This window comes from Homo sapiens, chromosome 3 (genome assembly GCF_000001405.40).
Source record: "Homo sapiens chromosome 3, GRCh38.p14 Primary Assembly".
In the NCBI taxonomy this organism is placed as follows: domain Eukaryota; kingdom Metazoa; phylum Chordata; class Mammalia; order Primates; family Hominidae; genus Homo; species Homo sapiens.
The window spans coordinates 38033473-38049475 of NC_000003.12; the positions used below are offsets into that span (position 1 = coordinate 38033473).

At 45.4% G+C, this 16003-nt stretch overlaps 1 protein-coding gene across 11 annotated transcripts in view, besides 2 other annotated features; it reads left to right on the top strand.

The window, feature by feature from the left end:
• The window catches only part of DLEC1 (DLEC1 cilia and flagella associated protein), an 84818-nt gene continuing 74550 nt past the window's right edge, over window positions 5736-16003 (top strand). For all 11 annotated transcript variants that reach the window (XR_940527.3, NM_001321153.2, NM_007335.4 and 8 more), the window contains exons 1-2: window positions 5736-6164; window positions 12071-12221. Coding sequence is in view for 10 of the 11 variants with exons in the window: in NM_001321153.2 (NP_001308082.1) it covers window positions 5754-6164; window positions 12071-12221 (562 nt within the window). In the remaining variant the exon portion in view is untranslated. The remainder of the gene's footprint in view (window positions 6165-12070; window positions 12222-16003) is intronic.
• Window positions 5801-6010: an enhancer, noted in NCBI's record as "active region_19675". NCBI's record gives its function as "activates an Ori minimal core promoter by ATAC-STARR-seq in GM12878 lymphoblastoid cells {active_cell/tissue: GM12878}" and the evidence as "EXISTENCE:reporter gene assay evidence [ECO:0000049][PMID:35858748]".
• Window positions 6301-6530: an enhancer, noted in NCBI's record as "active region_19676". NCBI's record gives its function as "activates an Ori minimal core promoter by ATAC-STARR-seq in GM12878 lymphoblastoid cells {active_cell/tissue: GM12878}" and the evidence as "EXISTENCE:reporter gene assay evidence [ECO:0000049][PMID:35858748]".

Sequence of the window (16003 nt, forward strand, 5' to 3'; positions counted from 1 at the left end):
AGAGACGGGTTTTACCATGTTGGCTGGGGTGCTCTTGAACTCTTGACCCTAAGCGATCCACCTCACCTGACAGAATTAAATTTTAAAAGGGTTGATCAGGCTGGATTTTATGGGAAAGGTGACAGTCAAGCAAAGCCTTGACAGAAGTGAGGGACTGAGACATTTAGAGATATCTGGGCAGAAGATTCCAGGCACAGGAAATACACCCTGAAGCAGGAGGGTGTTGGTATGTTGGAGGATGAGCAAGGAGGACAAGGCCAATGTGGCTGGAGCTAAGAGAGCAAGAGAACGGGGAAGTGGGGCGGGCTGATCATGGGAGGAGAAAGAGAGGTAACCGGGACCAAGTCCTGTTGGGCCTTGTAATAATTCACCTTTTATGACTGGGCACGGTGGCTCACGCCTGTAATCCCAACACTTTGGGAGGCTGAGGCCGGTGGATCACCTGAGGTCAGGAGTTCAAGACCAGGCTGGCCAACATGGCGAAACCCTGTCTCTACTAAAAATACACACACACACACACACACACAAAATTAGCTGGGAGTGGTGGTGGGTGCCTGTAATCCCAGCTACTTGGGAGGCTGAGGCAGGAGAATTACTTGAACCCAGGAGGAGGAGGTTGCAGTGAGCTGAGATTGCTCCATTGCACTCCAGCCTGGGCGACGGAGCAAGACTCTGTCTCAAACAACAACAACAACAACAAAAAAGAATACAACTTGGCTGGGTGCAGTGGCTCACACCTGTAATTCCAGCACTTTGGGAGGTTGAGGTGGGTGGATTGCCTGAGGTTGGAAGTTCAAGACCAGCCTGACTAACATGGTGAAACCCCGTCTCTACTAAAAATACAAAATTAGCCGGCCGTGGTGGCACATGCCTGTAATCCCAGCTACGTGGGAGGCTGAGGCAGGGGAATCGCTTGAACCCAGGAGACGGAGGTTGCGGTGAGCCGAGATTGCGCCATTGTACTCCAGCCTGGGCAACAAAAGCAAAACTCTGTCTCAAAAAAAAAAAAAAATTCAACTTTTACTCTGGGCGAAATTGGGAGCACTTGCAAGGCTTCAAGCCAGGGAGGGGCATGATCTGACTAATGTAAAAGAATCCTCTGAGTGCTGGAAGTCACCACGGAGGGACAAGGGCTGAAGCAAGAGCCCAGTGAGGAGACTCTTGTAATACCCAATTCCGGTGGGAGTGGATGGTGGTTCAGACCTTGGAGGTAGGAGTTGAGTGTGGAAATTGATAGGATTCCAGATATATTTTGAAGGCAGAGTCAACAGGAATTACAGGTGGGGGCTGTGAGAGAAAGAGAGGAGTCAAGGATGACTCCAAATTTTGGGCCTGGACAACTAAAGAATGGAGCTCCCATTAACTGAAATGGGGAAGGCTGAGGAGGAGCAGGCACTCTATTTCGGACATATTAAGTTTGAGGTGCCATCCAGATGTCAAGAACATGATGGATGTACAAGTCTGGAGTTTGGGAGGGAGATGTGAGCTAGGGATAAAAACTGGGATATGGTTCAAAACATGTTTAAAATGTCCATGAACTCTCACATTTTGCAAATGGGATTATATTCTGGTATAATCTTTTTGGAGGGCATTTTGGCAGTATCTCAGCTATTAAAATGTGCACACCTTTGGCCAAGCACTTCTATGATATTATCCCACAGAAACATTGTACGGCTATGCAAAGTATGCACAAACATGAACAAGGTTGCTCATTACAGCATTATTTATAGGAGCAAAAAAGAAAAAAGTAGTTCTCCATGAGTTGCCATAGGACATAATAAGTGAAAAATACAAATGGCAGGACAATATCCATGTATAACATTATTTCACTTGTGTTATTAATTTTTTTTTTTTTTTGAGACAGAGTCAAACTCTGTCACCTAGGCTGTAGTGCAGTGGCGCTATCTCAGCTCACTACAACCTCTGCCTCCCGGGTTCAAGCAATTCTTGTGTCTCAGCTTCCCAAGTAGCTGGGATTATAGGCATGTGACACCATGCGTGGCTAATTTTTGTATTTTTAGTAGTGACAGTGTTCATCATGTTGGCCAGGCTGGTCTTGGACTCCTGGCCTCAAGCAATCCACCTGCTCATCCTTCTAAAGTGCTGGGATTACAGGCATAAGCCACCATGCACGGCCTGTTTTTAAATAATTTTTTAAATGTCTTGACAGATAACAGTGTTCGTGCAGGCAGAAAAAACAGCTGAAAGTAAGCAGAAATATTCTAATAATTTGGGGGAAAGGACTGAGAAGAAGACACTTCCTTTTTATTATTTATGTACTATTTGAATTTGTTTTTATACACAGGTGTCCAAACTTTTGGCTTCCCTGGACCACACTAGAAGAAGAATTGTCTTGGGCCACACATCAAATACGCTAACACTAACAGCGATAAGCTTAAAAAAAAAAAGGTCCATGCATAATGTTCATTATATACATCACCACAGATAAGCAAAAATTTCTTTGCAATCAAAAAGTTGGACATCTGACTGGGCGCAGTGGCTCACGCCTGTAATCCCAACACTTTGGGAGGCTGAGGCGGGCAGATCATGAGGTCAGGAGTTCAAGACCAGCCTGGCCAACATGGTGAAACCCTGTCTCTACTAAAAATACAAAAATTAGCCGGGCGTGGTGGCACATGGCTGTAATCCCAGCTACTCAGGAGGCTGAGGCAGGAGAATCGCTTGAACCTGAGAGGGGGAGGTTGCGGTGAGCCAAGATTGCAATACTGCACTCCAGCCTGGGGGACAGGGCAAGACTCCAACTCAAAAAAAAAAAAAAAAAGTTGGACATCCATGAAACTATGAAATGTATTTAAAAGTTAAAAAAAAAAAAAAAAGGCCAAACGCCAGGTGCAGTGGCTCATGCCTGTAATCCCAACATTTTAGGAGGTGAAGGCAGGAGGATTGCTTGAATCCAGGTGTTTGAGACCAGCCTCGGCAACTTAGGAAGACCTTGTCTCTACAAATAATTTTAAATATTAGCTGGGCATGGTGGTGCACGACTGTGGTCGCAGCTACTCGGGAGGCTGAGGCAGGGGGATTGCCTGAGCCCAGGAGGTTGAGGCTGCAATGAGCTGTGATCATACTCCTGCACCCCAGCCTGGGTGATAGAGTGAGAGCCTGTTTCAAAAAGAAAAAAGCAGTGAAAAAAAAAATTTAAAGGCCAAAAATTTGTGTGGGAACCCAGAGATATACAAACAAACAAGAATGTAGTCAATAGAACGGGTTATAAAATGAAGACAGCAACTCACAAGGAATTCCCTTTGTGCCGATGAAGTCCCCAGGGGAGGGGAGCTGAAGAGTGGTTCCAAAAGTGACCTGAGCCCTGTTACCAGTGCAGGGTCGCAGCCATTCATTTCTCCAGTTAGCCAGGGAGCAAACAGAAATTGAATGCTGGGCATGGTAGAATCAGGGATGAATCCAGTTTATCAAGCAGAGAGATACTGGTAGAACAGGGACCCGAGGGTGGAGATAGGTGATGCACAGAAGAAATAGGGAGGCAGGGAAGAGAGTGTGTCAGTCGGAGGGAATGGGCAGCAGCACCAGAGGCTGCTGAGATGAGGACTGAGGGGGGACTGTTGCCACTGGAGAGACAGGAGGGTTGCTGGTAACCTTAGCCTGGAGCCAGAGGGGGGAGGGGTCATGCAAAGGGAGACCTCTCCCAGGCTAGTCAGACTCTGTGACTGTCTCTGAGGCTGTCTAGAGGCAGGGTGGAGAAGCCAAAAGTAATGGCAAGAGTCCATTGTCCTGTCCTTCCCTATAACAGGGAAGGGGGCCAGAGAGCCTCCACAAGCGGAACTGCTCCTAAATGACAAGACCACCCAACTGGGGCTCCATTTGCCACATTAGAGCAATGGAGGCCCCCAGACTGTTGCACCCCTCTTCCTACCCACAGCTCCTTCCTGCACCACTGGGGGCCTTGCATGCTTGTGGAAAATTGGAGAAATGCCTGTTTGCCAAAGCTCCCTCCACTTCCCTCCTCCTCCCCCCACCATAGCTACCCTTTTAAGTCAGCCCTGGGAGGATAAACTTAAAGAAGAGGCCTGCATAGGCCCTGGAATGAACTCAGGACATGTGGGCACATACTTTTGGGGTCCCATGTGCCTGGAGGCGAGGCACGGGGCACATCATCTTGGCCCTGTGATCTCTTACTCTGTGGGAAAGAGTGCGGGGGACAGCCAGAGATGGGCCTCTCAAGCACACAGTCCAGGGCAGGCGGCCCTGGCTTCTCAGCTCTCAGGACAGAAAAGGTCCTGGAAAGGACAAAAGAGAGAGCCAGGCCCAACCAAGAGAAGTAGAAGTGGAAGTAGCCCAGGTGTGTGGGCAAGCATGCTAGCACTCATCTCTGGAAGTGGGTTTCAGGATGTAAGGCAAGCAAACTCAGTGTGGAGTAGAAAGTGGTTGGTTGTATCACCTGTGAGCAAAAGCCATGGTGTGCAAATGACAACAGTCAATGTGATGTTATGCTGCTGCCCTGGACAAATGCAGTCCTCTTTTCCATCTCAGTGATGCTGTCATCACCCCCCTGATTGCACACACAGGATACCTGGGAGTCATTCTTGGTGCCTGTTTCTTACCTCCCATTATCCACCAGCAAGTCTTATCAATTCTACTTTTTGGATCTATCTCCAATCCAGTTCCCTCTCTCTCATCCAATCTCCCTTCATCTCTTTCCTAACTTCTGTGCTAGTTTCCTAACTGAACTTCCTGATGCCTCTTGCCTCTCCTGTCTATTCTCATAGCAATCAGAATGATCTTAGTAAAACAGAGCTGACCATGACATGCCCCAGCTTAAGACCCTTGATGAACCTCCTACTGCCCTCAAAATAAAGTCCAAATTCCCTATTGTGGCCTACCAACCCACTTATGATCTGGCCCTAACCTATCAGTGTCATTCCTCCACCCTCACACTCTTTAAGTTCCACTCCTCCTGAATTTCATTCCGTCCTTCCCACATTTTTAAATATTTTGTAAAGATGGGGTCTCCCTATGTTGCCCAGGCTGGTCTCAAACTCCTGGCTTCAAGTGATCCTCGTGCCTCAGCCTCCCAAAGTGTTGGGATTACAGGTGTGAGCCACCACACACACGCTCTTATTTAGGTACTTTTTTGTTTTTTGTCATTCTACTAACTGTAGTACTGCATTGTGGTTTTAATTTCCACTTCTTTGATGACTAATGATGTTCAGTCTACTCCTTCTTTGAAATCTCTGCTTGGTTTTCATTTGTTCCAAGAAGTAATCGCTCCTTCTACAGACTAAGTTCCTGTCCTCCTTTGTAGTTCCATGACAACCAATATTTATCTCCACCTTGGCCTTAACCCACTAAAGTACAGTTGTTTTACTTTTACCTCCACACCCACCGCCATCATCACAAACACACACATACACGACTGTGCACTTCCTGAAGGCAGAAGCAGCATCATACTTCTTTGGTATCTTCAGCAATCAGCACAGACCTGAAACACAATCTTTACACAATAAATATGATGAGTGAATGAACAGTTGCTTAACAAATTAAAGAATGGATGAAGGTAGGTAGTTAGGTACAAGGTTTTGCAGATAGGCCTGGCTGTGTCAATTAAACCTTTCTTCATGGGTCCTCACACTTAGTAAGCTCACTTTTAAAAGGACAATGCTGAAGACACAAATGTTTACAATGACCACAGCGATGACGGGATCCGAGAGAAAGGCAAGGCGGAAGGGGTGAGGCCGGAAGCCGAAGTGCCGCAGGGAGTTAGCGGCGTCTCGGTTGCCATGGAGACCAGGAGCTCCAAAACGCGGAGGTCTTTAGCGTCCCGGACCAACGAGTGCCAGGGGACAATGTGGGCGCCAACTTCGCCACCAGCCGGGTCCAGCAGCCCCAGCCAGCCCACCTGGAAGTCCTCCTTGTATTCCTCCCTCGCCTACTCTGAGGCCTTCCACTACAGCTTCGCAGCCCGGCCCCGCCGCCTCACGCAGCTTGCGCTGGCGCAGCGTCCCGAGCCTCAGCTGCTTCGTCTGCGCCCCTCCTCGCTGCGCACCCAAGATATCTCGCACTTGCTCACCGGCGTCTTCCGCAACTTGTACTCAGCCGAGGTCATCGGCGACGAAGTGAGCGCAAGCTTGATCAAGGCCCGCGGCAGCGAGAATGAGCGCCACGAGGAGTTCGTGGACCAGCTGCAGCAGGTAACGTGGCGGTGGCGTCGCGTCTGCGGACGGTGCCGGGGTCTCAGCGCTCGGCACGCGTCAGCACCTGCCAGGTGCCAGGCGCTGTTCCAGGATCTGGGGCTGCAGTTGAGAAACAGCCCATCATGCCGAAGTGGGCCCGACATTCTAGTGGAAGGACGCTCTATCCATACACACACATGCGCAAATACCACACATACCACACAACGTGCGGCATATATCTGTAGCACCTGTCTATATTTCTCTAGACACATACGTTATATATTGCATATATCAATGAACGACTGCGGCAGACCGCTGAATAGTTGTTCCATGGAGAGGATAAAGCCAAAAGTCACCCGGCTTTGGGGTGCCTTTGTATCACAAACCACAATCTTGACTGGGCCATTCATGCGCAGATTTTAGGAAGCGTGTCTAGCCTCTAGAACAGCAACTCTGCTTCCTCATCTGTACAAGGAGAAAACCAGCTGACTCGCGGCCTCTGTGCTGAGTCGGCCTCTGCTGGCCACACTACTGAAGACTCCCTTAAACTTGTGGGCACTCCTCCCATACCCGATCCTTTACCCCGGTGTGCTTCCTGCCTCTCAGATCTTCTTCTTCTCCTTTCTGTTCTGTCCTCTACCTGCCCCTTAAGTGACATGCATCCCACGTCGTTAGCTTCAGTCATTCCTTCACTTAACACATTTGTTGAATGTCTGCTGGGTGTCATACTCTGTTCTAGGCAGTGGGGATTCAGCAGTGAATAAAAACGCCAGTGTTCGGGCACACCCACACTCACACACGCAACCTGTCCTCTGTAGCTTTCAACCTAACTGAGGTAGATAGACATTAACAAAATGAATACCTATACAGTATGTGAGATACTTACAGGACCAGTCTCGCCGCCTCCACGGGTTATAGGCTTCTTAAAGTGCAGCCAGAGCCCCTGGCTGGGATCCTGTACTCTGTGATTCGTGGGTCACCACATTCACTCTGCTAAGACTTCAGCCTACCCAGCCAGACCTTGCCCTTGAACTTCAGACTCACATCCCTGTCATTCACATGAGCCAGAATATATGGAGCATTATAAACCTATAAACCCCATGACCAGTCACCCAGTTCACTGGATTCTATCTTCTCAGTATCTGTCCCATAAGTAGCCACTATACCAGAGTCTGAATTGGCAAATAGTGATCCCTTTTTTTGAAGAAAAAAAGTAATACATATTACAAATTTTTTTTTTTGACAGAGTCTGGCTCTGTTGCCCAGGCTGGAGTGCAGTGATGTGATCACAGCTCACTGCAGCCTTAACATCAGGGGCTCAACTGATCCTCCCTCCTCAGCATCTGGAGTAGCTAGGACCACAGGTGTGCACCAGTATGCCCAGCTTATTTATTTATTTATTTATTTATTTGAGATGGAGTCTCACTCTGTCACCCAGGCTGGAGTGCATGGCGCAATCTCAGCTCACTGCAAGCTCCACCTCCCACATTCATGCCATTCTCCTGCCTCAGCCTTCTGAGTAGCTGGCGCCTGCCACCACACCTGGCTAATTTTTTTGTATTTTTAGTAGAGACAGGGTTTCACTGTGTTAGCCAGGATGGTCTCGATCTCCTGACCTCGTGATCTGCCCACCTTGGCCTCCCAAAGTGTTGGGATTACAGGCATGAGCCACCACATCTGGCCTAAATTTTTATTTTTTAAAAATTGTGAGATGGGGTCCCACTATGTTGCCCAGGCTGGTCTCAAATTTCTGGCCTCAATTGATCCTTCCACCTCAGCCTCTCCAGATGCCGGTATTACAGGTGTGAGCCACTGTGCCTGGCCCACATTATAAAAATCTTAATTTAGAAGCTGAAATTTAATTTAAACATTTGAAGTTTTAAAATTGCAGAAATTTCAGAATGCAGAAAAGTTTAAAGAGTGATCCCCTATAGAAATACAACTATGCGGCCGGGCGTGGTGGCTCACGCCTATAATCCCAGCACTTTGGGAGGCCGAGGCGGGCAGATCACGAGGTCAGAAGTTTGAGTCCAGTCTGACCAACATAGTGAAACCCTGTCTGTACTAAAAATACCAAAAATTAGCCGGGCGTGGTGGTGTGTGACTGTAATCCCAGGTACTCGGGAGGCTGAGACAGGAGAATTGCATGAACCCAGGAGGCGGAGGTTGCAATGAGCCAAGACTGCACCACTGCACTCCAGCCTGGGCGACAGAACGAGACTCCGTTTCAAAAAAAAAAAAAAAAAAAGAAATACAACTATGCAAAGATAAGTTGACTTTATAAATTATGGTATATTCACACTATGGAATACTACAAAGTTGTTAAAAAGAATGAATTATACCTGCATTGTAGACAAACACAGCTGCCATTTATTTATTTATTTATTTTTTTGAGGCAGAGTCTCGCTCTGTTGCCCAGTCTGGAGTGCAGTGCCACGATCTTGGCTCACTACAACTTCCGTCTCCTGGGTTCAAGCGATTCTCCTGCCTCAGCCTCCTGAGTAGCTGGGATTACAGACATGCACCACCATGCCTGGCTAATTTTTGTATTTTTAGTAGAGATGGGGTTTCACCATGTTGGCCAGGCTGGTCTCCAACTCCTGACCTCAAGTGATCTGCCCGCCTCAGCATCCCAAAGTGCTAGGATTACAAGAGTGTGCCACTGCGCCTGGCCCGCCATTTATTAATTTAGCAAAAAAGCCATAGAACAATGTTAGGATAATTTAATTTTTTATAATATATATGCATGGGAAAAAAGCTGAAAACTTTCACAACAAAATGTTAACAATATTCTTATGGGACATTTAACTTTTTCTTTGCACATTTCTATATTGTCTGAATTTTGCAATGTACACGAATTAATTTTGTAATTACAAAAAAAGAAACTTTGAAAAGAGCAGGCATCTGTTATTCCACTTCTGTAATGTTGCTGGCTTTTTTTTTTTTTTTTTTTTTGAGACAGAGTCTTGCACTGTTGCCTGGGCTAGAGTGCAGTGGCACGATCTCAGCTCACTGCAACCCCTGCCTCCCGGGTTCATGTGATTCTCCTGCCTCAGCCTCCCAAGTAGCTGGGATTACAGGCACACACCACCACACCAGGCTAATTTTTTGTATTTTTAGTAAAGACAGGGTTTCACTATGTTGGCCAGACTGGTCTTGAACTCCTGACCTCGTGATCCACCCGCCTCGGCCTCCCAAAGTGCTGGGATTACAGACGTGAGACACTGCGCCCAGCAATGTTGCTGTTCTTATACCTATATTCCTCTCCCTCTTTCCTTTTTCGTCATCTGTTCTTTGCTTTTCCTCACTCGTCTCTAGATGTCACTGCCATGTGACCATCTGTACAGGACTCAGATTCATTCTCCCTGGGAGGAGCAATAATCACTATTCCGTATGAGTGTCTGCATTGCCTGAGTTTTTCCCTCAGATAACCCCGTTGGCAGCTGATCTTCCCCAAGCCCACCTATAGAAATATCTCATGGTCTAATGATTGAGAGCAAATGCTCTGGAACCATACACCCTGGGTTCAAGTCCTGGCTCCTACACATACCATCTATAGGACCTTGGGTGATATTTACTTCTATAAGCCTCAGTTTCCTTATCTGTAAAATGCAGATAATAATAATATTCACCCCATAGGTTGGTTGTTTTGAGGATTAAATGAGTCAATACAGTAAAGCATTTACAATATTGAGCATTTACAACATGGTAAGCCCTCAGTAAGTGATAGTTGGTCTTGTTATTTGGACTAGATGCTAATTCCTACATCCAGAAATTAGGGTCAGAGATTGTCAGCAGACCCAAATAGTAAGACACATAACACAGAACATAGTACTTTATATTTGAGGAACTGTCCCAGGCCACTGTCTCCTGAAAAACATTTCCTGACTCCAAGAAGATTTAGTTACTTCTTCTTAGCCTTCCATATATCCTCATTCATATGCTATTATAGCGCTTTTAAGAGTTGATTTCACCTATTTGTATCCTTGCCAGGCCCCTCCTGCTAAACTGTAAACTCTTTAAGAGCAGAAACCATATCTGATTCATTTCCCCAAATGTAAATGGTAATTACACAATAAATCTTTTTTTTTTAAGATGGGGTTTTGCTCCTGTTGCCCAGGCTGCAGTGCAATGGCACAATCTCAACTCACTGTAATCTCTGCCTCCTGGGTTCAAGTGATTCTCCCGCCTCAGCCTACCGAATAGCTGGGATTACAAGTGCCTGCCACCACGCCTGGGTACACAATAAATCTTTATTAAAAGAATGACTAAATAAATCTTTGCGATCCCACCAACTTTAGGAATACAATAAGGAACACTGTCTTCCTACATAAACTGTTTTTTTTTTTCTTTAAAAGAAATGGGGTTAGCTGGGCATGGTGGCTTGTGCCTGTAATCCCAGCACTTTAGGAGGCTGAGATGAGAGGATTACTTGAGTCCAGGAGTTTGAGACCCCATCTCTACAAAAAAATTTAAAAATTAGCTGGATATGGTGGTGTATGCCTGTAATCCCAGCTACTTGGAGGCTGAGGCAGGAGGATCCCTTGACCCCAGGAATAGCAGGCAGGAGTGAGCTGTGATTGCGCCACTGTACTCCAGGCTAAGCCACAAAGCAAGACTCCAGTTCTAAAAAATAAATAAATAAGAAAGGAAAATAAGACTGGGCGCAGTGGCTCATAACTGCAATCCCAGCGCTTTGGGAGGCTGAGGTGAGTAGATCATCTGAGGTCAGGAGTTCAAGACCAGCCTGGCCAACATGGTGAAACCCCATCTCTACTAAAAAATATACAAAAAATTAGCTGGGCATCATGGCGGGCACCTGTAATCCCAGCTGCTTCAGAGGCTGAGGCAGGAGAATCACTTGAACCCGGGAGGCAGAGGTTTCAGTGAGCCAAGGCCATGCCATTGCACTCCAGCCTGGGCAACAAGAGCAAAACTCTGTCTCAAAAAAGAAAAAAAAAGAAAGAAAGGAAAAGAAAGAAACAGGGTCTCACTGTGTTGCCCAGGCTGATCTTGCACTCCTAGGCTCAAGCGATTCTCTTGCCTGCCAAGTAGCTGGGACTACAGGTGCACACCACCATGCCTGGCTAATGCAAACTATCTTTCATATTACCTGTACCAGTGAGCTCTCTGCTTCTTGCCTCGAGAAGTCTGAACCAGAAAATATGGATCAGAAGTTTGGCTGGTTGAATAGTCAATCAGTAATTAGTCTTGAGGAGTATGTTGGGCATCCAAGTGGACTCTCTGGGCGCAAGTACTGTGACAGAGTTTGGGCTACAGGTGTTTGTTAGCTATCAACACCTGTGAGGGGAGGGGAATGAAAGAAGGAGTGAGCCACGGAAGAAGCTGAACTGTGATGGGGGCCCAACAAGCCTTGACAAATGCAGCATGTTGCTCTGAAGAGAGTATTGCCTGTCAAAGTTTCTCTCTTTGGGTCAAAATGGCCAGGTCTTTATACCCCTGCCTCTCTCAGTCACAGGATGTGGGTGCTGCAGAAAGGACATGGTCTCAGGTGACTCCTTTTCAGCAGCTTAGGTAGACTGTGAAGGGGCTGTCTGCTGACGACGTTCCCTGTAGCTAGGGAGCAAGTCCTTCCTTGAACGTGGATCTGGGTGGCACCACAGGAAGTGTGCTAACTTGTATTTGGTATTTCACTGTTTGGATGGCAGCTCTCTTTATTGTGAAGCCAGGAGACAGGTAACCAAGCTCAAGTCTGTTACTGGCCTTACTATGGAAACCTTTAAACCATTCCCCTCTATGGGTCTCAGTTTTCAGATCTAGTAGTTCAGACCAGATGGTTGGAATAGTTCTCTGACTATTCTATGCTTCACTGGAAGCCCTGATCCTGGGGTAGGGCTGAGTAAAGCTAAGTAATGGTAAGTAATCTCACCATATTTCTGTGCATTTGATCATCCCCCTGCCAGATTCGGGAGCTCTATAAGCAGCGGCTGGATGAGTTTGAAATGTTGGAGAGACATATCACTCAGGCCCAAGCACGGGCTATTGCGGAAAATGAGCGGGTCATGAGCCAGGCTGGAGTACAGGACCTCGAGAGCCTTGTCAGGTTGCCTCCAGGTGTGTATAAAGAACTCCCACATGCCTGCCCAATTCCCGGGCTGTTGATATTTCACTGTGTTTGCTCCATTGCCCACTCTCTAGGCTTTTTCTGGATATTTGGAGAGCAAGTCGCAGACATGATAATATGAATATTACCACAAAAGAATATTTCATTACCACAAAACACTTCTGTATGTGTATCTTCAAAACAAGGACGCTCTCCTACATAACCAGCATATAACCCCCACAACCTGGAAATCAGTTTCTGTGCAACACTAACCTCTGACCCACAGATACTTGTCAACCTAAATAGCAGAGAGAGACTCTCTAAAAGAAAATGATGGACACTGCAATGGGAATACATGTGCCATTGTAAACTGTGTGCATATTCAGGGAGGTAAAGGAAGACAAAGGTTTTTAAAGGAAAAGTGAGGAGGATTACACAATGGTTTTGAAGTAATTATCCTTGGCTGAAAAATCATTAACAAGAGTAGTACCAGTCTGAGATTAAACAGGCGGTTGCTGGGCAGATTTGTGTGTGTGTGTAGGGTTGCAATGACCTTTGTGTGAGGTTGTGATTTTTGTGGCGTGATATGGTTTGTCTGCATCCCCACCCAAATCTCACCTTGAATTGTAGCTCCCGTAATCCCCACGTGTCATGGGAGGGACCTGGTGGAAGGTATTGAATCATGGGGGCAGGTTTTTCCCTTGCTATTCTCATGATAGTGAGTAAGTCTGATGAGATCTGATGGTTTTATAAAGGGCAATTCTCCTGCACACACTCTCTTGCCTTCGCTCATGTAAGACATGCCTTTGCTCCTCCTTCACCTTCTACCATGATTGTGAGGCCTCCCCAGCCATGTGGAACTGTGAGTCCATTAAACCTCTTTTTCTTTATAAATTACACAGTCTCGGGTATTTATTCATAGCAGTATGAAAATGGACTAATACAAGGCATCTTTTGTGATAATTCTTGTTATCAGGCACTTATGCATGGCCTTCCCCAGCACCATTTGTCAGGGTTTTTTAACACAAGTGACTCCATTTTGATTCAGACAACTTTTACATCCCATTCAAATTTTACTGACTGTCCTACTGTGGCTTTTTCCCCCCCTCAGGCCCAGGATCCTGTCCAGGAAGTCATGTCACATGCAATTGTCATGTCTCTTTTTGAGATGCCTTCATTTGGAACAATTCCTTGATCTTTTCTTGTCTTTCATCTTCCTGACAGTTCTTGACCAGACTTATATTCTGTAGGATGGGGATGGTTCTGTCTGATGCTTCCCCATGACCAGACTTAGGCAAACATTCTGGGCAACAGGACCACATAAAGTTATTCCTTGTTCATCTCACTGCAGCACAGCAGGAGGGTCACGTGATGTTAACCTCCATCCCCTGAGTAGGTTGGTGTCTGCCAGGATTTTCTGCATTAAATTCTCCAAATCAAATTATAATTGATTAGCATTTTATAGAGAGGTATTCTCAGATTACACCAATATCTTGTTCCTCATCAAAGCTCCATCGCCATACCACCAGCATTCACTGAAAATTCTTTTCTTAATGCAGAAGTTTAAAGAGTGATCCTTTAGAAATACAACTATGCAAAGATAAGTTGACTTTATTAATTATGGTATATCCACACTATGGAATACTGCAAAGTTGTTTAAAAGAATGAATTATACCTGTGTTGTAGATATAGATGGCTGTCTGCTATTTATTAATTTAGCAAAAAAGTCACAGAACAATGTTAGGATAATCCCATTTTTATAGTATAGATGCATGAAAAAAAGCTGAAAATTTGTATATCAGAATGTTAATAATGTTCTTAGGGGGCAATTAACTACCTATAATCAAAATTGGGTTGTTTTTCCTATGGACTTGTCCATAGTCTGGATTTTACTGATATCAGCATCATGGTGTCATTTAACCTGTTCTTCCTTGTATTTCCTATAAATCTGTAATTAGTTCTAGAGACTTTATGAGGTTTAGGTTCAATGATGGTCAGGTGGTGGGGAAAGAGCACTTCATAGGTGATGCTGTGTGTTTCCCTCAGGAGGTACATGATATGTGGTTGCTATCTCTCCTTTCATGATGCTGGCAGCCTTTTTATTTTATTATTTTATTAGGGGTTACAAATTATAATGAAATGCTAATGGTAATAATAATTCTATCTTTATTTATTTGTCAGCTGAACTACTTCTATAAAGACAAACTTTTCAGAAACTACTTTGATTACCCCAAAGTATGGGCAGCATTAATTCTTTCCCTTTATTTGCCAGTGTTTAAAATAGTGAGTTGGTTCCCCTAACATCTGCCAAAGGTGACTAATGAGGTTTGTTTGGTTGTTTTAGTATCATTGTGCACGCTTGGATTTCATGACTGCAAATTATTTATTATCCTTTTGGTGCTCAAATTGTTCCATCTTTGGCAGAGAGCCTTTTCCAGTTGACTGCTGATTCATTTGACAATCAGCTGTCTTTGATAACTTCCTTGCTTTCTGAGCTGGTGAGATGTTCCAGGCCATCTTGGGTATTTCTGGCCCCAGATCTGGAATCAGCCATTTCTTCAAGAAACGCTGATTCCTTTTATTCCCTCCACCACTCCCCACAAAGACCTTGACCTGTTCTCCTGAATTCTTGAAAATCTTGAAAATTCTTGAAAATTATCATTTTCCAGTGCAGTAGACAGAAAAGACAGTATATTTAGGAGACCTGTTATATCTATGGCCTAGAGGGAAAGATCTAAGGGAGGAAGAAGTGGAAGATACAGTGCCTTAAAAGGCATTTAAACTTATGAGGACCTACTAGGGCCCAGATGCTAATATGCTTTGCATAGGTTATCCCACTAAATCCTCCCGACAACCCTGTAAGGTAGGTTTTCTTTCTATCTTACAGGTGTAGGAACTAAACTTAGATGATCAAACGACTTCCCTGAAGCCCCACAGCTTGGAAGGGGGTGGGACTTAGATTTGAACTTGGGTGTGTCTGCTGTCAAAACCCATGGCTTTCTTCTATCGGGAGGAGGAAGGATTGTTGATGAGCCATGGTGTCTCAGGAGTGTTGATGACTTCTCTTAGAGTGTGGCTCTGAGCAGCAGAAGCCCTATCCTTCATCAGGCCTGCCAGACCTCTGAGACTCAAGTCCCATTAAACAGTAACACTCAGGCACAGGTTCTGTATCTCTTCCTGTTTCCCCCTCCACCACAGCACAGTGTAGCTGCAAGGACCCCTCCCTCAATGGTGGCCCAGATAATGTGGATTTTGCAGAAATTATTGGTAGCAAATGTCCAGAGTCTTTACTGGTTGCCTGATGTTCCCTGAATCCTGGGAGTCAGCTACTGTCCCTTTTTTGTTGTTGTTGGCTAGAGATTAGGGGAGATTAAATAATTAACTATTTGGGTTTTTTTTTTTAATGAAAGTGAAATAAAACATTGAGAACCAGGAGACAAATGTCAGTTTGGAGAATTTTTCAATGACTTTCATTTTATTTTTACCCAAGAATGATATTAAGTTCTAATCAGCCATTATCTGTCCTGGTTTCTCAGGTCTCTGCTGGTGATGTGTCTTTCTTTTAAGAAGTGAAGAAGTAGACACACTAATCCAGTTCCATGGATACCCCTCTGGTGTGTCTGCTTCTCAGAGAAGGGTGAGGTAACTTTTTTTTATAACTCAGATAACTGGCAATGAGGACATTCCCCTAAAAGTTTCTTATTTGAGGCATAGAGGCAACCTTTCTGTGTTTGCTAATAAAAATGTGACAAAGTGGCAAGCACATGTAAATTCTCCAAAGTGAGGGAGAAAG